The sequence below is a fragment of the Homo sapiens genome, chromosome 19, assembly GCF_000001405.40.
Source record: "Homo sapiens chromosome 19, GRCh38.p14 Primary Assembly".
Classification (NCBI taxonomy): Eukaryota; Metazoa; Chordata; class Mammalia; order Primates; family Hominidae; genus Homo; species Homo sapiens.
In genome coordinates this window covers 51,388,012-51,409,737 of record NC_000019.10, presented here as the reverse complement: position 1 = coordinate 51,409,737, position 21,726 = coordinate 51,388,012, and the positions used below count along the sequence as shown (strand labels likewise).

Below are 21,726 nucleotides of genomic sequence, written 5' to 3'. Positions count from 1 at the left end.
CCTTCTCTGAATATGGTGTTCTGAGAAGGCAGGCAAAGATTTGCCTTTGACACACCCCAGCTCCAGTCCAGAGGACTGCGCAGTTTCATGGGTTCTCAGAGATGGGAGGGTCTTTAAAGATGACTAGATACAGCCAGGCGCAGTGGCTCACGCCTGTAATCCCAGCACTTTGGGAGGCTGAGGCTGATGGATCGCTTGAGGCCAGGAGTTTGAGACCAGCCTGGCCAACATGGTAAAACCCCGTCTCTACTAAAAATACAAAAATTAGCTGGGCGTGGTGGTGCGCAACTGTAGTCCCAGCTACTCGGGAGGCTGAGGCAGATTTGCTTGAACCCAGGAGGCCGAGGTTGCAGTGAGCTGAGATGGCGCCACTGCACTCCAGCCTGTGCAACAGAGCGAGACTCTGTTTAAAAAAAAAAAAAAGACTAGATAGGCTCCTCAGTCACCTCCAGCCTGCTGCCTATTTTCATACCACCTGCAAGCTAGAAATGTTTTTACATTTAAATGCTTGGGGAAAAAGTCCGAAGAAGAAGACTCTTCTGGGGCCCCTGGGAAGGAGATGAAATTCAAATTTCAGTGTGGTGCCCAACCATGCTCATTCCTTTACACATTGCAGTTATTTTCATGCAGAGTTGAGTCACTAGCCTGCAAAGCCTAAAATATTTACCATCTGATCCTTTACAGAAGTTGGCTAGATCTTAATCTACATAAACTCATTTGTTTTCACAGAAGAGGAAGCGAGCGCAGAGGTCCATAAAGAGTTCAAGAGTAGCCGTGGGAAAAATGACTAGGTCTGTGACTACAGGAAGGTTTTCAGGGTGAGGATTGGAAGGGCAGGAGACTGCATGTGGATGGGGTGCTAATGCGCTCTCAGACCCACAAATCTAAAGAAGTGCAAACGCATGCGGGGATGGAGGTTGGAATGCTTTGGAAATGGAACAATGACAAACTTACAACATGCTAAGAATCACACAGTGGCTCACGCCTGTAATCCCAACACTTTGGGAGGCTGAGGTGGGCGGATCACCTGATGTCAGGAGTTCAAGACCAGCCTGGCCAACATGGTGAAACCCCGTCTCACCTAAAAAAATACAAAAATTAGCCAGGTGTGGTGGCGGGCACCTGTAATCCCAGCTCCTCGGGAGGCTGAGGCAGGAGAATTGCTTGAACCTGGGAGATGGAGGTTGCAGAAGCCGAGATCATGCCACTGCATTCCAGCCTGGGCAATAGAGTGGGACTCCGTCTCAAAAGAAAAGAAATAGAGCAAAGGAGAGCACTTTGCTGGCCATCTCCTCTGCTGACCTCTGCTCCTCCATAGCCACCCAAGGGGCCTTTCTTCGGTAGTTATTGCATCGTTGGTGACATGGCAAGGTGGCCCTCTCTGGTGTGTTTTGTTTCCTGGCTGTGCTAAACACTCCAGATACTGAAAAATAAAAAATTAAAAACTGAGCTGGACACGGTGGCTCACGCCTGTAATCCAGCACTTTGTGAGGCCGAGGCAGGCGGATCACTTGAGCTCAGGAGTTCGAGACCAGTCTGAGCAACAGAGCGAGAGCCTGTCTCTACTAAAAATACAAAAATTAGCCAGGTGTGGTGGCAGGTGCCTGTATTCCTCAGCTATTCAGGATCCTGAGGCATGAGAATCGCTTGAACCTGGGAGGCAGAGGCTGCAGTGAGCTGAGATCGCGTCACTGCACTCTAGCCTGGGTGACACAGCGAGACTATGTCTCAAAAACAAAGAAAAAACCTGAATTAGCTGCAAGGACCAAAGTTGGCCACCAGACGTCGGTATACCCAGGATGATAGGACTATAGACTCATGGTGTGGAATGGGATCACCCAATGCAGCCACCTCATTTTACAGAAGGACTTCAGAGAGGGACAAGGTCTTGCATGTCACACAGCTGAACTCCAGAGCTGGGATTCAAACTCAGGCCCAGGATGGGTGAGCACTGCTGGTTACACAGTCTCCTTTAAGCTTAGAGTGGGAAGGATGCTGCAAGGGCTTGAGAAAAAGGGAACTCCCTACAAGCTGCACAAAGACTGAGACTCTGCTTCCTTCCTTCTACCACCAAATTCTGCCATGAGAGCAACCCTTGAAGATCTGTTTGACCTGGGAAATTACAAGATTGCATTGCTAAGGCACCAGGTTTGACTAGGTGTCAGTAACTTTGAAATGTGTGTGTTAAGGTCCTGACTTCTGCAATAGTGACTTGGGACTTGGAGGGAGGGCATTGTTATCCAGTACTCTTGGGGAAAGGCAATGTTGTGCAAATGAAAACAAACAAACAAACAAACAAAAACACCAGGCTTGGAGTCAGAAAACCCAAGGGGAACTTTCCGTATTGCCAAATATTCTTTTTCTTTTTTTTTTTTTTTTTTTGAGACAGTCTCGCTGTCGCCCAGGCTGGAGTGCAGTGGTGCAATCTTGGCTCACTGCAAGCTCCGCCTCCCGGGTTCATGCCATTCTCCTGCCTCAGCCTCCCGAGTAGCTGGGATTACAGGTGCCTGCCACCGCGCCCAGCTAATTTTTTGTATTTTTAGTAGAGACGGGGTCTCACTGTGTTAGCCAGGATGGTCTTGATCTCCTGACCTTGTTATCCGCCCGCCTCGGCCTCCCAAAGTGCTGGGATTACAGGCATGAGCCACTGCGCCTGGCCCCCAAATATTCTTTTTAACCAGTCAACTGGGACATTAACTGCAGGAAGTATGAATATAAAATAGTTATATGTTTTCTGATCACTGAGTCAATCATGTTTTTTTGTTTGTTTGCTTGTTTGGTTTTCGTTTTTGAGACAAGAGTCTTGTTCTGCTGCCCAGGCTGGAGTGCAATGGTGCGATCTTGGCTCCCTGCAAACTCTGCCTCCCGGGTTCAAGCGATTCTTATGCCTCAGCCTTCCGAGTAGCTGGGACTACACGTGTGCGCGCCACCACACCCAGCTAATTTTTGTATTTTTACTACTAGAGATGGGGTTTCGCTATGTTCACCAGGCTGGTCTCCAACTCCTGACCCCAACTGCTTTGCTTGCCTCAGTCTCCCAAAGTGCTGGGATAACAGATGTGAGTCACCGTGCCCAGCCTCCTCTGTTTCTTGATATGAGAGTTGTGTCCCCTGCTTCTCCCATACCTTCTCCAATTCCACCATTGGCAGACACCATGCAGCCTCTTACCGCTTTCTTGGGTGACATATCACCTAGATTGCAGAAGCCCAGCTACCCTCCTTCGTGTCCATCCACCCCCTGCTATAGACAAAATGTATGTGTCCTTCCAAAGTCTAGGTTGAATTCCTAACCCCCAATGTAATGATATTTGAAGTCAAGACCTTTGGAAGGTGATTAGGTCATGAGGGTGGTGCCCTCATAAATGGGATTAGTGCCCTTAATAAGAGACCCCAGAGAGCTGTCCCTCCTACCAAGTGAGGACACAACCAGAAGGCACCATCTGTAAGCCTGGAAGTGAGTCCACATCAGACACTGAATCTGCTGACATCTTGATCTTGGACTTCCCAGCCTCTAAAACTATAAGAAATAAATTTTCATTGTTTACAACCCATCCAGCCTATGGTATTGTTGTTATAGTAGCCAGAAAGGACTCAGAAACCCACACATCCTAACCATGCTGGACTGTGGAGTGCAGGCTACACTGCCCCAAGCTCCTCGTTGCCCCCAGCTTTTCCTCTCTAATGCTCCTCTCCCCTGCGCAGGGAGATGCAGGGCACAGCAAGAAGTTGGCTGCCCACACAGACACCCAATGGGGAGATAGTGTGTTGATTCCTCCCATTCTATCAGGAAACCCTAGTCTTTCCTAAACATTTTCTTGGAGCACCCCCTCCTATCCAGAGCCCTGGTACACGTGAAGAGTTCAGGAAAGAGAGGATGATGAAGCATCTCACCAAAGACTTCTCACCTGTCCAACAGCCAGCTGGCAGCTTTGTTTTTTTGGGAAGCTAGGCAGAGAGAAGCTTTCTGACCCCATTATTGGCTGCCCTCTTTAAACCATTTAAGAGGCAACAGAAAAAGTCCTATTCGGGGCGGGGCACAGTGGCTCACGGCTGTAATCCCAAGACTTTGGGAGGCCAAGGCGGGTGGATCGCTTGAGGTCAGGAGTTCGAGACCAGCCTGGCTAACATGGCAAAACCCTGTCTCTACTAAAAATACAAAAATTAGCCAGATGTTGTGGCGGGTGCCTATAATCCCAGCTACTTGGGAGGCTGAGGCAGGAGAATCACTTGAACCTAGGAGGTGGGTGTTGCAGTGAGCCAAGATTGCACCACTGCACTCCAGCCTGGGCAACAGAGTGAGACTGCATCTCAAAAAAAAAAAAAAAAAAAAAAAAAAAGAAAAAGAAAAAGAAGAAAGAAAGAAAGAGAAAAAGAAAGAAAATGTCCTATTCCTGGAAACCATCATTCTGAGCAAACTGTCGCAAGGACAGAAAACCAAACACCACATGTTCTCACTCATAGGTGGGAATTGAACAATGAGAACACTTGGACACAGGGCGGGGAACATCACACACCGGGGCCTGTGGTGGGGTTGGGGGATGGGGGAGGGATAGCATTAGGAGAAATACCTAACGTAAATGATGAGTTAATGGATGCAGCAAACCAACATGGCACATGTATACATATGTAACAAACCTGCACGTTGTGCACATGTACCCTAGAACTTAAAGTATAATAATAATAAAAAAAGAAAATGTCCTATTCGACATTTGCTAATGAGGAGGACTTAGGTATCATTTATACAGAAAATGTCATCTTTATTAAATAAGTCATACCCCCACCCTCAAGTTTTTGCAGCAAAATGGCTCTGCAAAGAGTTTCTGCCATGGATTGAAAGTTTGTGTCCCTCCAAAATTCATGTTGAAACTTAATCCCCAATGCAATAATATGAAGAGACAGGGCCTTTAGGAGGTAATTATGTCATGAGGGATCCTCTTTCATGAATGGGATTTAGACTATAAAAGAGGCTTCACGCAGTGTTGGCCCCTTTTTGCCCTTCCACCTTCCATAAGAGAGGCACATCTTGGAAGCAGAGATCAGGCCCTCACCAGATACTGAACCTGCTGGTGCCTTGATCTTGGACTTCGCAGCCTCCAGAGCCATGAGAAGTACTTTTTTATTATTTAAATATTACCCAGTTTGTGGTATTCTGCTATAGCCACACAAATGAACTAAGACAGCCTGTGATATGAAGATGGCACCAATCCTGCCCCACGCTCATGAGAGCTCTTCAAGAAAGCACTGGCAATGCTCACGATGGATTTTGAAACAGGCAGAGATGAACTCTCCCAAGTGGTAATTCCCACACCTACATCAACAGCCTCCAGCTCCAGAGAGCACCACGTTTATTTCTTCTTGACTTTTTTTTTTTTTTTTTTGAGATGGAATCTCCCTCTGTTTCCCAGGCTGGAGTGCACTGGCACGATCTCAGCTCACTGCAACCTCCGCCTCCCAGGTTCAAGAGATTCTCCTGCCTCAGCCTCCTGGGTAGCTGGGATTACAGGCATGCACCACCACCCCTGACTAATTTTTGTATTTTTTCTTAGTAGAGACAGGGTTTCACCATGTTGGCCAGCATGGTCTCGAACTCCTGACCTCGTGATCCATCCACCTCAGCCTCCCAAAGTGCTGGGACTACAGGCATGAGCCACCATGCCCGACCTTAAATTTTTTTGGTAGATATGGGGTCTTGCTTTGTTGCCGATGCTGATCTCAAATTCCTGGCCTCAAGCAGGCCTCCTGCCTCAGCTATCCAGGCGACTAGGATGACAGGCGTGAGCCACCACACCCAGCCTGCATCTATTGTTTCCCAGACATCTGTATGTGGACACCCTGCAAGTACCTCATGTCCAAAACACATGCATTATCCTCTCATGCTCTCCTAAATGCTCCCAGCCTGAAAGCCCTTCTTCCCTTCATATCCTTGATCTTAGCTTACCATGCCACCATTGCCCAAACTCAAAATCTTAGGAACAACTCTGACTTATCCCTCACTCCACGTATCGGCAACTCCCGGTCATTCTCCCTCCTAAATATCAGGTGGTGCTGCCTCCCCCACCCTCCCAGCTGCCACTGATCCTGATGTTCCATCACTTGGACTGTGTATACATACGTATGTTAAAAGAATAGATGCCCGTTTTCTGCCTCATGGGAGCTGGGAGCCCGACGTTTCCAGGAGCACCGCGTGGAGTTAGTGTCGGCCGCTTTTGGCATGGCAGCTTTTTCTGGCCTGGCTGAGATCTCACTGCTTAACCCGCAGGAAGATGTCCAGTTTCAAAAGGAGGTGGCGCAGGTTTGCAAGCACATAACCCAGCAAAAAAAACAAGAACAACCCTACTTAACGAAACCCAGATCTTTTCATATTTCTCCCAGTTTGGCACTGTGACACAGTTCAGACTGTCCAGAAGTAAAATGACTGGAAATGGCAAAGGCTATGCATTTGTGGAGTTTGAGTCTGAGGATGTTGCCAAGATAGTTGCTGAAACAATGAACAACTACCTGTTTGGTGAAAGACTCTTGGAGTGTCATTTTATGCCACCTGGAAAAGTACATAAAGAACTCTTTAAACACTGGAATATTCCATTTAAGCAGCCATCAAATCCATCAGCGAAATGGTATAATCAGAATCGGACACTAACACAAAAGCTACAGATGAGGAGTGATTTAAAAAGAAATAAAGATTACTCAGGAAGAAATTAGCTGGCTGGGCACGGTGGCTCACGCCCGTAATCCCAGCACTTTGGGAGGCCAAGGTGGGTGGATCACCTGAGGTCAGGTATTGGGGAAAAGCTGAGTGTTGGGAAAAAAGCTGAGGCAGGGCTTGCATGTCTGACATAATGTAAAAGAGTCTTGGAACATGTCTGGGGTCCAGGGTCTAAAACCTCTCATGGCCTTTGGAACACCAAGCTCTGTGCTAAAGGGTGGAAGGCTGCCCTGTGGCACCATAATCTAAGCCCAGGGCATAAAACCCCTCGTGGCTTGGATGGAATCCAGGGCTCAGAGCATGGAACCCCTCATGGCCTCTGGAATGTGTCTAGACTTGCCGGCTCCTTGTTTCTAGCATTCCCAGGCTCATAGATCAATTGTATCTTAAACTAGAAGAACATGTTTCCCATTATCTCAAGTAGCAGAAAATGTTCCATATGCTTCAAAGAAAATGCTAAACTGTCACAGCTGTAAATCATGCACTTGATGCAGTGCTTTCTTTCAACCCCCACATCCTCACCACCTGCCTCTTTGTTTGATCACCAATAAACAGTACGGGCTTCCAGAGCTCGGGGCCTTCGCAGCCTCCATACTAGTGTTGGACCCCTGGACCCACCTTATGCACTTTTAACTTGTCTTTTCTCATTCCTTTGACTCTGCCAGACTTTGTAGCCCCCATGGCCTGGTGCTGGGTCTGATCACCCCAGCATTCCTGGCGCCCAACATGGGACAATGAAGATCCCGGTGAAGGAACGCTAGAGGACATGAAAGTGGAGGAAGTATCATCAGAGGACACCCGAGGATGACTGAAAGAAGCTCGGTGGGAAAGCTGAGTGCTCAGAAGAACCAGGGTAACAATCAGACAAAGTGAAAGCGAACATTCTGCTTATCTGAATTTCTTAAGGCATTTATTACAAAAAGGGGCAGTGAAAGTTAGTACTCAAAATTTGTTATCACTCTTTAGTACAGTAAAGCAGTTTTGCCCATGGTTTCCAGAACAAGGGACTATGGAGTTGGATGAATGGGAGAGAACTGGCAGAGATTTTAAAAAGGCGTATAAAGAGGGAGCAAAAATTCCAGTTTCCGTTTGGTCAATGTGGGCACTAATAAAGGCAGCCCTTGAGCCCTTTCAAACAGATGATGAGGGAGATTCAGATGAGGAAGAGGAGGACGAGTGTAAAAAACTAACTTCAGATTCTGAATGCAAGGAGCAAAAAAGAGAAGAGGTTAAAAAAGGGGAAACCGAAAAAAGTATATTTTACTAGCCCATCGGCTCTACCTGCTGAATTAAGTGAATGGCCACCTCCTCCCTTTCCCCTTAATGGGCGAGAAAGTGAATTAGCTATAAAATTTTCTGCTCCTGTAGTTGCAACATTAAAACCTGGAGCAATTGGTGGTGCTATGCAAAATTCTATTCAAAAAGCTAGAGCAAGCCGGGCGCAGTGGCTCACGCCTGTAATCCCAGCACTTTGGGAGGCCGAGGTGGGCGGATCACGAGGTCAGGAGATCAAGACCATCCTGGCTAACACGGTGAAACCCCATCTCTACTAAAGACACACAAAAATTAGCCGGGCGTGGTGGTGTGCGCCTGTAGTCCCAGCTATTCGGGAGGCTGAGGCAGGAGAATCGCTTGAACCCGGGAGGCAGAGGTTGCAATGAGCCGAGATCGCACCACTGGACTGTAGCCTGAGCAACAGAGCGAGACTCTGTTAAAAAAAAAAAAAAAAAAAGCTAGAACTGAGGAAGACCTTGAAGCATGGCAATTTCCAGTTACTATAATCCAGCAAGGAGGACAGAATATAACTAATTGGGCCACTTTTCCTTTTAAGTTATTAAAGGAATTTAAGTAAGCCATTACTCAATATGGACCGAACTTTCCTTTTGTGCAAACTTTGTTAAAAAATGTGGCTCTTGATACTAGGTTAATACCGTATAATTGGGATACTTTACCAAAATCTGTTCTCACTCCGTCTCAGTATTTACAGTTTAAAACTTGGTGGGCTGATGAAGCTCAAACTCAGGCAAGGGAAAACACACAAGCGCAGCCACCTGTGCCTGTTTCCTTTGAACAGTTCATGGGAGTTGGCCCCAACTGGGGTAGATTAGAAAATCAAGCAGTAATGGAGGATGTTGCCATTGTTCAGCTGTGCCCTGCATGCTTACGGGCATGGGAAAGGATAAATGTTACAGCGGAAAAATATCCTTCTTTCAGCTCGTCCGACAGGGACCTAAAGAACCATATATTGATTTTATTGCTTGGCTCCAAGAGGCTGTGTATAAAGCCATAACTGATAAAACAGCTCAGGATGTTGTAATACAGCTTCCTGCATATGAAAATGCTGATGCAGAGTGTCAAACTGCCATCAGACCTATGAGAGGGAAGGCTCATTTGGCTGAATATACTGGGGCTTGCGATGGCATTGGAGATACCTTGCATAGGGCTCCTCTTTTAGCTCAGGCTATGGCTGGATTGAAAGTAGGAAGGAATGTGCCCCGTTTCTCAGGCTCTTGCTTTAATTGTGGGCAATTTGGACACACAAAAAAGGAATGTAGAAAAGGAAAATAAAAAGTCTGGACAAGATATATGGTGGAGGGAAGCACATACAAAGAGCTGAGAAAAAGGAAAGATAATTATATGGGGAAGAGGATTTGCTTGTGTCTCTCCAGGTGACAGTCAGGTGCCTGTGTGGTGCCCACCAAACATCCGAAGATGTATCATCAGTTACAGCATCTAGTGGACCCACCTGTACAGTGCAAATTGAAGGCTTAAGGATTGCTTTTCTGCTATACTGTTGCACAAGAAGGATAAGCCTCGATTTGCTTTTTCTGTGCCTTCTGTTAGAAGGGGCCTGTTTCTCATTATCAGTGGAAAGTTTTACCCCATGGTAATTAACCACAGAGGCAGAAGCTGAGTTACAGCTTGTAGAACAAATGCTTCAGCAATGGCATGCCTCCCGGCTACAGCCACAAAAGTTTTTGCTTCTGTTTCGCTAGATTTACTAACATGGCTTTGAGGGTATGCTTGTGTTTTTGCAGGAGATGAACAAACCGTGCGGATGCCCTCAAGATGTGTACGACCATGGAATGGGAGACTGGAGAGATCCATGGATCCCAACCGTGGACCTGGTTCCCCCAGTACAAGCCATGAGCCAGTTGAGTCTGAATGCGAAGACGGAACGAGGACCGACCGGAGTCATGCTGACATCCACCCCCATAACATGGGGACAGATCAAGAAAAACCACACAGGAAGCTGAAAAACTGCTGGAACACCAAGGTTGTACCTTTTGCTGGGATTCAGAGGTACAATAGATGCTTAACGGACCAATGCTTTCTGACTGAGCTCCTCTCTACCTGAATACAAGAGACCCTAATAGTTAGGCAGGAATATCATCACCCCTATTCAGCATGAAGAAGTTGCAGAAGACGGACCTTCATCCTTCTGCAAGCCTTAGGATTAAGGATCCTCTTGTAAAAGGGAAAGTGGAAATATGTAAGAAGCATTCAAACCAGAACGACTCCATTCTGAATAAGGGCCAATGCATCCTAATGAGGAAGGGATGATAAAATGAATATATCTATAGGATATAAATATCCCCCATATGCCTGGGACCTGTTGTTGGATGCTTACAGATTGACACACAAGCTTGGTTGGCAGTAGTCCCCGGAAAAAATAAATCACAGGCTGCTTTGCATATGATTTGGGGGAGTAGTTTAAAATATAATTATTCCAATCCTAAAACCCTGAAGTTCCATCCTAATAAGCGTGAATGTGAGCGAAGCAAAGTTTGGTTTGAAGGTGTGGATGCTTGAACTTGGGAAGATTGTATAGCAAGTAAGGCTGAGGTGCTACAAAATAATTCCTATGGAATCACCATTGATTAGTCCCCTAAGGGGATCTTTAAGGAAAATTGCACCGGAAGGCCTTCTTGTAGAACAAATGTAGTAAACCAGAGGAATCGCTGGCAAAGGAATCATACACAGTATGTTCGGACGGAAGCTAATGCCCCTATCATATAGAGTCCTGCTGGCATTGTTGCCCCTAGTCCAAAAATGATATCTCCTGCCATAAGACAGGAACATTCTGAATTATGGAAATTAGCTATGGCTGAAAGTTCAATCAAAAGTTGGGAGGGTACATATAAAAGGTATAGAGGGGAGGGAGGTAAAAATAAATATGCTCTCTCTTTTCTTTCCAACAGGACCTTTTGGATTCAAAGCTGTGTTCGGCCATCTTTTATGCTAGCAACAGGAAATGTTACCAACTTTTAATAAAAATCAGACTATCCTGATAATTAAAGCCAGAGAAGGAGTTTGGATCCCTATGTGTCTCTAAATAGACCATGGGAGGCATCATCATCCATTCGTATTGTAACTAAATCCTTAAAAAACTCTTATCCCAAAGATTTATAGTTGCTCTTTTCTTTGCTATAATTGGCCTCATTGCTGTTACTACTACCGCTGCAATAGCCGGTGTGGCTGTACATTCATCTGTGAAAACTGCTGAATTTGTCAATAAGTGGCAAAAGAATTCCACAAAATTATGGAACTCCCAAGCTCAAATAGATAAAAAAAAAATAGTTAACCAAATTAATGATCTCCGTCAGACAGAGATTTGGATGGGAGATCGTATTATGAATTTAGAAAGTAGAATTCAAATGCAATGTGACTGGAATACATCTGACTTTTGTGTTACTCCTCAGTTACAATGAGACAGAACACTGATGGAAGAAGGTTAAACGCCATCTAGAGGGTAGAGAGGAAAATCTCACCCTCTAAATTGTAAAACTAAAAGAGCAGGATTTTGAAGCCTCTCAGACTCACTTAGCCCTGCTCCCTGGAACTGATAATTTGAACAAGACAGCCAATGGGTTGTCTGCAATCAATCCTCTTAAACGGATTAAGGCCATTGAAAACTCTACACTTGGAAATCCTGTTCTAATAATTATGTGCTTGTGCTGTCTCCTTTTAGTCTGCAGATGCGGAAGCCACCTCTGGAGAGAAAGCCACCATCGAGAACAAGCAATGATAGCTGTGGTGGTTTTACAAAAAAGAAAAGGGGGTCATGTTGGAGAAAAGCTAAGTAGTGAGAAAAAAGCTGAGGCAGGGCTTGCTAGTCTGACATAATATAAAGAGTCTTGGAACATGCCGGGGTCCAGGGTCTAAAAGCCCTTGTGGTCTTTGGAACACCAAGCTCTGTGCTAAAGGGTGGAAGGCTGCCCTGCGGCACCGTAATCTAAGCCCAGGGCATAAAACCCCTCATGGCTTGGATGGAATCCAGGGCTCAGAGCATGAAACCCCTCGTGGCCTCTGGAATGTGTCTAGACTTGCCGGCTCCTTGCTTCTAGCATTCCCAGGCTCATAGATCAAGTGTATCTTAAACTAGAAGAACATGTTTCCCATTATCTCAAGTAGCAGAACATGTTCCATATGCGTCAAAGAAAATGCTAAACTGTCACAGCTGTAAATCATGCGCTTGATGCACCACTTTCTTTCAACCCCCACATCCTCACTACCTGCTTCTTTGTTTGATCACCAATAAACAGTGCGGGCTTCCAGAGCTTGCGGCCTTCGCAGCCTCCATACTAGCATTGGTCCCCTGGACCCATCTTATGCACTCTTGTCTTTTCTCATTCCTTTGACTCCGCCGGACTTCATAGCCCCCACAGTCTAGTGTTGGGTCTGATCACCCCAACAGTCAGGAGTTCGAGACCAGCCTGGCCAACATGGTGAAACCCCATCTCTACTAAAAATACATAAATTAGCCAGCCATGGTGGCAGGCACCTGTAATCCCAGCTACTTGGAAGACTGAGGCAGGATAACTGTTTGAACCTGGGAGGTAGAGGTTGCAGTAAGCCGAGATTGGGCCACTGCACTCCAGCCTAGGCGATAGATCAAGACTCAATCTCAAAAAAAAAAAAAAAAAAAAAGGAATTGATTATGATTTTCCTTCTTCCTTCTTTGATTTTCCAGAAAACAGAAAGTATTTCAAAAACTAATTGTCAGACGTCTACAAAAGGCCATCTTTTACATAAGAAGAAGAAAAAGGTTTTAGGCACTCTTGACACTCCTGAGAAGACTGTGGATATCCAGGGCCTCACACCAGTTTGTACACCAACATTTTTGGAGAGACGAAAATCTGAAATGGCTGAAATGAATGACGATGATGAAGCTAATGAAATAGTTTTCAAACAGCCCATATCCTATGTAAAATAAGAAACACAAGAGACTCAAACACCTACACATTCACGGAAAAAAAGAAGCAAAAGCAATCAGTGATTTTCAGTGTATTACATATAATATTTCTTCTGGAAAATATAATATTTTTATGAGAGTGGACTTTGTGTTTTACTAGGTACAATGAAATGCAACCCTTGACAAGACTTTCAGAGGTAAAATGCACTGTTTGGTCAAGTTAAGGAAAGCAATCTGTAATTTTGGATTGCCTGCCTTTGGCTGAAATACAAGGGTGCATACCAGCTTGCAGTGGCTTGACTGACATTGCCTCTTTGTCCTGGCCTCTAGTTTTCTTTTGATATTTCACAGCTCTCCTTAGTTACTCTACCTAGATGGAAAGTTGACCACTAACTGCAGGTTTAAGTACTAAACTGCAGCCTTTTTCTATCACCAGCAGTTAAAGACCACCAATCTGGTTTGTCCATCTACATGGTTTGTCAGGGACATTTAACTCATGAGAGTGCTTTAGATTTCAACATCAGATGGTTGAAGCTGGAAGGCAAATTATATGTAGTGTGAGAAGGCAGTTCCAGTTTTTTGTTTTGTTTTGTTTTGAGATGGAGTCTTGCTCTGTCCCCCTGGCTGGAGTGCAATGGCGCGATCTCAGCTCACTGCAACCTCCGCCTCTTGGGTTCAAGTGATTATCCTGCCTCAGCCTCCCCAGTAGCTGATTTTTAGTAGAGACGGGGTTTCACCATGTTGGTGAGGCTGGTCTCGAACTCCTGACCTCGTGATCCACCCACCTTGGCCTTCCAAAGTGCTGGGATTACAGGCGTGAGCCACCGCGCCTGGCCCAGCAGTTCCAGTTTTAGCACAGATTTGCTTATGTATTAGTTCAAATCTTAATAGAGATTCAAAAACGACTTCTTTTTTTTTTTTTACCAATTTGTTAAATTAGTTTTCGTTGGGCTAGCATGGATTCATAACCACCATTTTATACTAGTATCACCAGTGAGGAATTGTATTTCAAGGATCAAACAATAACCAGCAAATAAACTTTTTTCTACAAAAAAAAAAAAAAAAAAAGCATAGATGCCCACGTGCCATGGGGCTTAATGAGAACAAGCTCCATGCCGAGCCCTTTACGTACACTGCCATGTTCGAATGTCATAGCAACTCTGAGACAAGTGTTCTTGGCCAGCTCCCGAGTGAAACTGAAGCTCAGAGAGGCTAAGCAAATTACCCAAGGTGACTCAGCTTTTCAGGGGCAGAGCAGTATGTGACATCAGTCAAGCATGTCAGTTGGACTCCACGCCCATGATCTCAACACCTTCCTGTACTTCCTCTCATTGTGGCAATGAACAGCTAGGGCTTAGGCCGGGCGCTGTGGTTCACGCCTGTAATCCCAGCAATTTGGGAGGCCAAGGCGGGTGGATCACTTGAGGTCAGGAGTTTGAGACCAGCCTGGCCAACGTGGTGAAACCCCGTCTCTACTGAAAATACAATAATTAGCCAGTCCTGGTGGCAGGCACCTGTAATCCCAGCTACTCGGGAGGCTGAGGCAGGAGGCTCGCTTGAACTCGGGAGGCGGAGGTTGCAGTGAGCCGAGATCGCATCACTGCACTCCAGCCTGGGCGACAGAGCGAGACTCAGTTTCAAAAAAAAAAAAACACACAACAACAAAGGTGACACCCGAACCTTGACGCCTCGACAATAACAACAACAAAGGTGATCCCCGAACCTTGACACCTCGACAGGGCTGAGAGGGGAGAAGCTGGGTGAGGGCCTCTAAATCTGGGGAGATTTCAAGGAAGGGAGGCAAAGATGACCTCCTGGACCTAAAAGAGGAGAAAGGACATGAGGGTAGGAGAGGCACTGAGAGGCCCCCCTTGCCCTTGGAAGGGTCCCAAGTAGATGGGGTGGAATGAATGGGAAAGAGCAGGGACCCCAGAATCTCCAGGGACGGAAGGGGGTTCGGGGAGGAGGGGGATTTTAGGAAATCTGTAAGCCCCTACGAAATGGGGAGACCCCGAAGGTCGAATCTTGGAACTTTGAAGGTCTAAAGCCGGTAGGGATAGGGAGTGGAGAGTGAAAGGAAGGGTCTGGTTCTAAGCGGTGGATGGGGCAATGGGGCTCCCCAGTGGGCCAAGGAGATGCCGAGAGGGATTCTCCCCTCAACAACCCAGTCCCCTCTCTCCCTCCAAGCTCCGCTCAGCATCTCCAGGCCTGGGCCGGGTCTCCCGGATGCTACCGGAACCTACCCGCACATGCGCAGACAAAAGCCTCAGCAAAAATGCCTGAAGGCGCAGAAAGGCGCTCGCCAACCAGAGGGAGAAGGCGAGGCGCGCGGGGTCCGCAGGGTGGGGATTCAAAAGCGGCGCGAGTTCTCTGGCCAATCAGAGCCGAGAATAGTGGCTCGCGACGCTTAACAAGTGGGCGGGACTCTAACCAATCGCCGCTGCGTTCCCCTACAAATCGGAAGTCTCGCTTCCCCTTAAGCAGAAGTTGGTTGGCCAGTTTTCAGAACTAGCCTGTCAATTTTGGAAGCTGAGTAAAGGGCATTTCCTTAGCGACACAAGGTCCCGCCTCCAGTCTCCTAGCGCCGCAGGGGCACGGGGGACGGGACAGAAAAAGCCTTAAAGGGCGAGGTACGTGGTAAGCGGTCAGACCCTGGTTTCCAAATGGCGTCAGATCCTGATCTTAGTAATAGGAGAAGCAATAAAAGAACAAGCTAGAACAATCCCATGACGCTAGACTTGAGCAGTGAGCGCCATCTGCCTCTGGGATTTAAAGTAACCGAATGGATAGACCCAGACTTGAAATCTGAAGATCTGGGTTCTCATCAGTCTCCAGGAAAGAAAAGCAAGCCAGATCTCTTGGCAAAAATCTTATTCCGGCCACTCAGTGCCACTAACATCGTCCAGCATAGGGCGATCCTGTTGCCTGGGACTTCTCCTCCTTAAAATGCAATGTTGTGGGCCAGGCACGGGGGCCTATCCCAGTAATCCCAGCACTCAAGGTAGGAGGATTACGTGGGGCCAGGAGTTCGAGACCAGCCTGGCCAACATGGGGAAACCCCATCTCTACTAAAAATACAAAAATTAGCTGGACATGGACATGGTGGCACATGCCTGTAATCCCAGCTACTTGGGAGGCTGAGCCAGGAGAATCGCTCGAACCCAGGAGGCGGAGGTTGCAGTGGGCGGAGATCGTGCCATTGCACTCCAGCCTGGGCGACAGAACAAGACTGTCTTAAATAAATAAATAAATAAATAAATAAATAAATAAATAAATAAAAATTTTAAAATACCCTGTAATCCTAGCACTTTGGAAGGCCGAGGTGGGAAGATTGCTTGAGGCCAGGAGTTTAACACCAACTGGCCAACATAGAGAGACCTCTTCTCTATTAAAATAAATACATAATTTTTTAAAATGTGGATTAAATTAGTTCATATTATTCATTAAAATAGATCTCCAGTCTTGCCAACATAGTAAAGCCCCATCTTTACTAAAAATACAAAAATTAGCGGGGCGTGGTGGCAGGCGCCTGTAATCCCAGCTACTCAGGGGGCTGAGGCAGGAGAATCGCTTGAACCCGGGAGGTGGAGGTTGCAGTGCACTGAGATAGCACCACTGCACTCCAGCCTAGGTGACAGAGGGAGACCCTGTCTCAAAAAAAAAAAAAAGACCTTCATTTTACAAAATAATTTAGAACTCCCCCAACTCTCAAGGTTGTGAAAAACAAGGAAAGACTTAGAGAGTGCTGCAGATTAGAGAAGACTAACGAGAGAGGATGACTAAATCCAATGTGGTAGTCCAGATTGGATCCAGGACCAGAAACAAAGGACATTAGTGTAAAAACTGGTAAAATCCAAATAAAGCCTGCAGTTTACCTAATAGTCCTGTCAGTTTCTTAGTTGTGACTAATGTACCATGTACATTACATGACAATGTAAGATGGCAACATTAGGGGAACTCCTGTCTGGAGTAAATGAGAACTCTCTGTATTATCTTTGTAACTTTTCTCTAAGTATAAAAGTATTCCAGGCCAAGCATGGTGGCTCATGACTGTAATCTCTTGGTACTTTGGGAGGCCAAAACAGGAGGATCTCTTGAACCCAGGAGTTTGAGACCAGCCTGGACAACATTCTGAGACCCTGTCTCTACAAAATAAGGCACCCCGTGTGGTAGTGTGTGCCTGTGGTCCCAGCTACTTGGGAGGCTGAGGTAGGAGGATGGTTTGGGCCCAGGAGGTTGAGGCTGCAGTGAGCCATGATCACACCACTGCACTCCAGCCTGGGTGACAGAGGGGGACCCTGTCTCAAAAAAAACACACGCAAAAAGTATTGCAACATAAAGCATTTATTTAAAAATATAAATACCTATGCCACTCCTCTTAGCTGATTATTTTCCAGTCCCTGAATCACTACATTTGTTTTACTTTCAGAAGCTGTTCCCTCCCCAGGAATATTCAACTTCCAGTCTTCCAGTACCTTCCCATAACAGCCTTTTCTAACCATCTTATCTACTTAATTTTTTATTCTTTTTTTTTTTTTTTTTTTTTGAGATGAAGTTTCACTCTGTAGCCCAGACTAGAGTGCAATGGTGCCATCTCAGCTCACTGCAGCCTCCGCCTCCTGGGCTCAAGTGATTCTCCTGCCTCAGCCTCCCAAGTAGCTGGGACTACAGGCATGCCCCACCATGCCTGGCTAATTTTTGTATTTTTATTTATTTATTTATTTATTTTATTTATTTTTGAGACAGGGTCTCACTCTGTTGCCCAGGCTGGAGTGCAGCGGCACGATCTCAGCTCACTGCAACCTCTGCCTCCCAGGTTCAAGCGATTCTCCTGCCTCAGCCTCTCGAATAGCTGGGATTACAGGTGCCTGCCACCACGCCCAGCTAATTTTTGTATTTTTAGTACAGATGGGGTTTCACCATCTTGGCCAGGCTGGTCTCAAACTCTTGACCTCAAGTGATCCGTCCACCTCGGCCTCCCAAAATGCTGGGATTACAGGCGTGAGCCACCGGGCCAGGCCCCTAACCACGTTATCTGCTCTATCTCCCTACCTCGGTGACTCTATATCCTCTTGCCCTGATTTGACATCTTCAGGTACATATTCTTACAGAATATATGCTATGTATGTCTCGTCTGTCTCCCTTACAAGCATGCAAGTTTCCTGAGAGTAGGGGCCATGTCTATTCTGTCCCGTGTGCAGCCTGGAGCCCAAATCATAGCAGGCATTGAATATTTCTTAAATGAATGCATGTAATAATGACGATTGCTTCTCAGCAAAACACTGTCACAACCACCAGCAATAACAATAAGTAAATCTCATGTGTTCAGCCTAATTGTGGTCCAGATTCTGTGTCTACTAATACACAAGTAATATCACAAGAACCTGGACAGTAATATTAGCCCCATTTCTCAGATGGAGAAACTAGGGCATAGAGAGTAGAAGCACCTAAAGTAACAAAGCAAGTTAGAGACACGGCACCTAGTAGAACCCAGCGCCTAGAATGGCTAAGACCTCCAGACCATCTACCACGCCCTCTGCCCTAGGGAGTGTCCACATTTCCCTACCTAAAACGTCCCTTGAGTCCTAAAGAATCTGTCTTGAGGATATGGCAGGAATAAAGAGAGAGAAAGACAGAGAGAGAGAGAGAAGGGGGCAGGGGTCCCGGGACTACTGAATCTGAGAGAGGAAGGGGGCTGGGGAACCAGAGTACGGGGTCTGAAGAAGGAGGGGCTGGAGCCTGGACTCCCGGGTCTGAAGGAGGAGTGGCTAGGACCCTAGACTTCCGGGTCTGAGGGAGGAGGGGGCTGGGGATCTGGACTCCTAGGTCTTAGGGAGGAGGAACTGGGGATCTGAACTCCCGGGTCTGAGGGAGGAAGAGCTGGGGATCTGGACTCCCGGGTCTGAGGGAGGAGGGGCTGGGGCCCTAGACTTCCGGGTCTGAGGGAGGAGGGGGCTGGGGATCTAGACTCTTGGGTCTTAGGGAGGAGCTGGGGATCTGGACTCCTGGGTCTGAGGGAGGAAGAGCTGGGGATCTGGACTCCTGGGTCTGAGCGAGGAGGAGCTGGGGATCTGGACTCCTGGGTCTGAGGGAGGAGGGGCTACAGGGTGCTGGAGGCCTTAAGTAAGTGATCTTGGGGAACTAGATCCAGGTCCCCGCCTGAGCTCTTTCTTTTGGGATCCCGGATAACTCCGCGAGCCACGCCCCATTTCTGACCCGGCCAAGCCCCGCCTCTCTCGGCCTCGGCCCCTCCCCAACCTTCCCGGGCCCCCGAAGGATCTCGGAGGCGAAGTTGCTAGAAGATACGTAAGAGGGCCCCAGTGGAGATGGAACAACCAAAGGACGGGGCTGGGCCTGAAGGGTGAGACAAACAAAGACCTCCTGAGAGGGGGACAGAGACCCAGAGAGAGGAGGGGACAGAGAAAACGAGAGAGAAAGGGCGCGCTGAACAGACCTGCATAGAGAATCAGGAAAAACAAAAAAGGCTCAGGTATCATCACATAGGTACAGAATCTTAGAAGATCTTGGTGAGAGTTGAGCGAGATACTTAGAAACAGGCGGAGGCCGGGTGCAGTGGCTTATGCCTGTAATCCCAGCACTTTGGGAGGCCGAGGCGGGTGGATCACATGAGGTCGGGAGTTCGAGACCAGCCTGACCAACATGGAGAAATCTGTCTCTCCTAAAAATACAAAATTAGACGGGCGTGGTGGTGCGTGCCTGTAATCCCAGGTACTCGACAGGCTGAGGCAGGAGAATCGCTTGAACCCGAGAGGCAGAGGTTGCGTTGAGCCAAGTTAGCGCCATTGCACTCCAGTCTGGGCAACAAGAGTGAAACCCCATCTCAAAAAAAAAAAAGAGCTAGAAACAGATACTCATCGAACAGAAATTTCCAAGAATAAACCAAGAAATGTGAAGACTCCAGGGATCCCCAGAAGGCTGGAGAAATCGTAGCTGTCCACTGTTTTAGCACTTACCAGACCCAGCGCTGTCATACGCACCTTTGATACCATCCAAAGCCATCTGTGACTATAAACAAATTAAGGTTCGGAATAGGAAAATGATTTGTCCAAAGATACACCACCAAAAGCGAGGCCACCAGGAATTGGAACTGAGTTCTGTCTGGTGCCGAAGTTCATGGCAGAGCTGTCTGTTTCTTTAGAGAGACCCGGGTTAGAAACAAAAAGAGAGAAGCGGGGGAGGAAGTCACAGGTGGGCACTGAGGATGGAGAGATGGCTGCCTTCTGCAGAGGTGCAGAGACAGCCTGGCAGCGAGAAACAAGAAAGTACGGAGACGCTGAGCCCCACTGACCTGTCTTTTTGTTGTTCTAGGAACAACCTGTCCCTGCCGTCATCTGGGACCGAGCCATGGCCCCCTGCGCCTCTCCCAGCCCCTCCACCCTTGCTCCTGAACTCCACAGACCCCACCCACCTGGGGCTCCCGGAGAGCGTGGCCTCTGTCACCGTGCCCATACGCCTGGACACCCTCTCCTGCCTCCTGCACAGCGCCCTGCTGGGGGCCTACACCTTCCAACAGGCCTTGCCCTCTTGCCCCTGCTGCTCCCAGGCAGGCCACTCCCAGCCGGGGGCAGTTAGGAGGCCTCCCAGGGGACGCGGAGGCTGGGAAGTCAGGCACAGGCCAGGCTGGGGCCGAGGCCTGCATCGACGGGGCCTTGGGAGAGCTGAGCAGCCAGAGAGGGGCCGGGCGGGGGGCCCTGGGGCTGGCCCCAGGACCCCACCAATGACACTGCCATCACCACCAACACTGCCTGCCCAGGATGGGAAGAAAGAAGCTCGAGGTCCAGAGCCACCCCTGGAAACACCACTGGCTGCTGAGGACTGGGAGACAGAGTACTAGGACCTTGGAGGGTCAGGCACCTGAGATTGCAGTCACCCAGGAGGGTTTTCCTGGGGCCCAGAGTGATCTCAGCCCTGTCAGAAGAACCCCAAGAAACATCTTCCATCCTCCCCTCTCCCCAAAACCACAATCCCAGGAGTAGCTCCTGTGAGGCACTTGGTGAACCTGACCTAAGTCACCTGAATCCCAAGTGAGAAGAAAATCCTAAACCTCGTACCCAAACCTGTCTCCTTGATGGCCTCAACCCCATTCCCAATGCCATCCCCAACCACAACCACAATCCTTACCTCATTCTCAACCCCCAGGGCTCCTCCAACCCCATTCCCTATCCTCTCCCTAATCCCAAAGCCACTCCTACCTGCCTCTCTCTTCCCCACTCTCAATACCCTGTTCCCAAACCCATTCATTCCCATCCCTGTCACCAGTCCCAGCTCCACTTCTGCGCCTCAACCCTAACCCACCCTCTTTACCAACCCCTTTCTCCTCATTGCCTGTGTACCTCAGCCCATCTTTAATGTCCTCTGAATCTACAGCCCCAAAGAGCTCCATCCTCAACCTCAGCCACAGCCCTGTGTCCATCCCCACAAAGAACCGCATTGGCCCCACATACCCAGACACCTGTGACTCCCCACCCCACTGCCTGCTCTTCAGGTAGAAAGCCCTGGTTGAACAATAAACGCATGACTCTCCCTGAATCTTGCGTGTGTGCGCGCGCCCGTGTGTGTGTGTGTGTGTGCGTGTGTGCGTGCTTACACAGCTCGGACAAAGCCAGGGTTGCTTTGAGCAAGGCTGGCGACAAGGTATTGGGTTCCGGGGAGGGTCACAGAGGTCAGTGAGTGGGTGGGGGGAGCCCCCTGGATGCCTGCTTCAGCGAATTCCATTTGAGGCCTCTGCCACCGCTGCATTTCTGCCTGCTGGAAGCTGCTGGGTAGTGGGACCATTGTGTAGGGAGGCTTAAGGGATTTGGGGAAC

The 21,726-nt window shown here is 48.0% G+C and overlaps 1 protein-coding gene and 1 pseudogene across 2 annotated transcripts, besides 7 other annotated features; both read left to right on the top strand.

Moving 5' to 3' along the window:
- Nucleotides 288–788: an enhancer, noted in NCBI's record as "H3K4me1 hESC enhancer chr19:51912204-51912704 (GRCh37/hg19 assembly coordinates)". NCBI's record gives its function as "activates a minimal SCP1, AML or CMV promoter by ChIP-STARR-seq in primed H9 embryonic stem cells {active_cell/tissue: H9 hESC(primed)}" and the evidence as "EXISTENCE:reporter gene assay evidence [ECO:0000049][PMID:30033119]".
- Nucleotides 1,806–1,855: an enhancer, noted in NCBI's record as "active region_15016". NCBI's record gives its function as "activates an Ori minimal core promoter by ATAC-STARR-seq in GM12878 lymphoblastoid cells {active_cell/tissue: GM12878}" and the evidence as "EXISTENCE:reporter gene assay evidence [ECO:0000049][PMID:35858748]".
- NIFKP6 (NIFK pseudogene 6) lies at nucleotides 6,190–13,500 on the top strand (annotated as a pseudogene).
- Nucleotides 14,015–14,224: an enhancer, noted in NCBI's record as "active region_15015". NCBI's record gives its function as "activates an Ori minimal core promoter by ATAC-STARR-seq in GM12878 lymphoblastoid cells {active_cell/tissue: GM12878}" and the evidence as "EXISTENCE:reporter gene assay evidence [ECO:0000049][PMID:35858748]".
- Nucleotides 15,165–15,304: a silencer, noted in NCBI's record as "silent region_10988". NCBI's record gives its function as "represses an Ori minimal core promoter by ATAC-STARR-seq in GM12878 lymphoblastoid cells {active_cell/tissue: GM12878}" and the evidence as "EXISTENCE:reporter gene assay evidence [ECO:0000049][PMID:35858748]".
- Nucleotides 15,165–15,876: a biological region, named in NCBI's record as "H3K27ac hESC enhancer GRCh37_chr19:51897116-51897712".
- Nucleotides 15,280–15,876: an enhancer, noted in NCBI's record as "H3K27ac hESC enhancer chr19:51897116-51897712 (GRCh37/hg19 assembly coordinates)". NCBI's record gives its function as "activates a minimal SCP1, AML or CMV promoter by ChIP-STARR-seq in primed H9 embryonic stem cells {active_cell/tissue: H9 hESC(primed)}" and the evidence as "EXISTENCE:reporter gene assay evidence [ECO:0000049][PMID:30033119]".
- Nucleotides 15,315–15,374: a silencer, noted in NCBI's record as "silent region_10987". NCBI's record gives its function as "represses an Ori minimal core promoter by ATAC-STARR-seq in GM12878 lymphoblastoid cells {active_cell/tissue: GM12878}" and the evidence as "EXISTENCE:reporter gene assay evidence [ECO:0000049][PMID:35858748]".
- Nucleotides 19,147–21,449, top strand: C19orf84 (chromosome 19 open reading frame 84). 2 transcript variants are annotated; one of them, NR_126530.2, is made up of 2 exons: nucleotides 19,147–19,389; nucleotides 20,229–21,449. NR_126530.2 is itself a non-coding variant. In NM_001193623.2 (2 exons), exons 1-2 carry the CDS (start codon nucleotides 19,226–19,228, stop codon nucleotides 20,752–20,754), a joined length of 561 nt encoding a protein of 186 aa, NP_001180552.1. In that variant the 5' UTR covers nucleotides 19,147–19,225; the 3' UTR covers nucleotides 20,755–21,449. The 2 variants fall into 2 exon arrangements, 1 of the variants encoding a protein (NP_001180552.1); NM_001193623.2 differs by having other exon boundaries at nucleotides 19,147–19,260.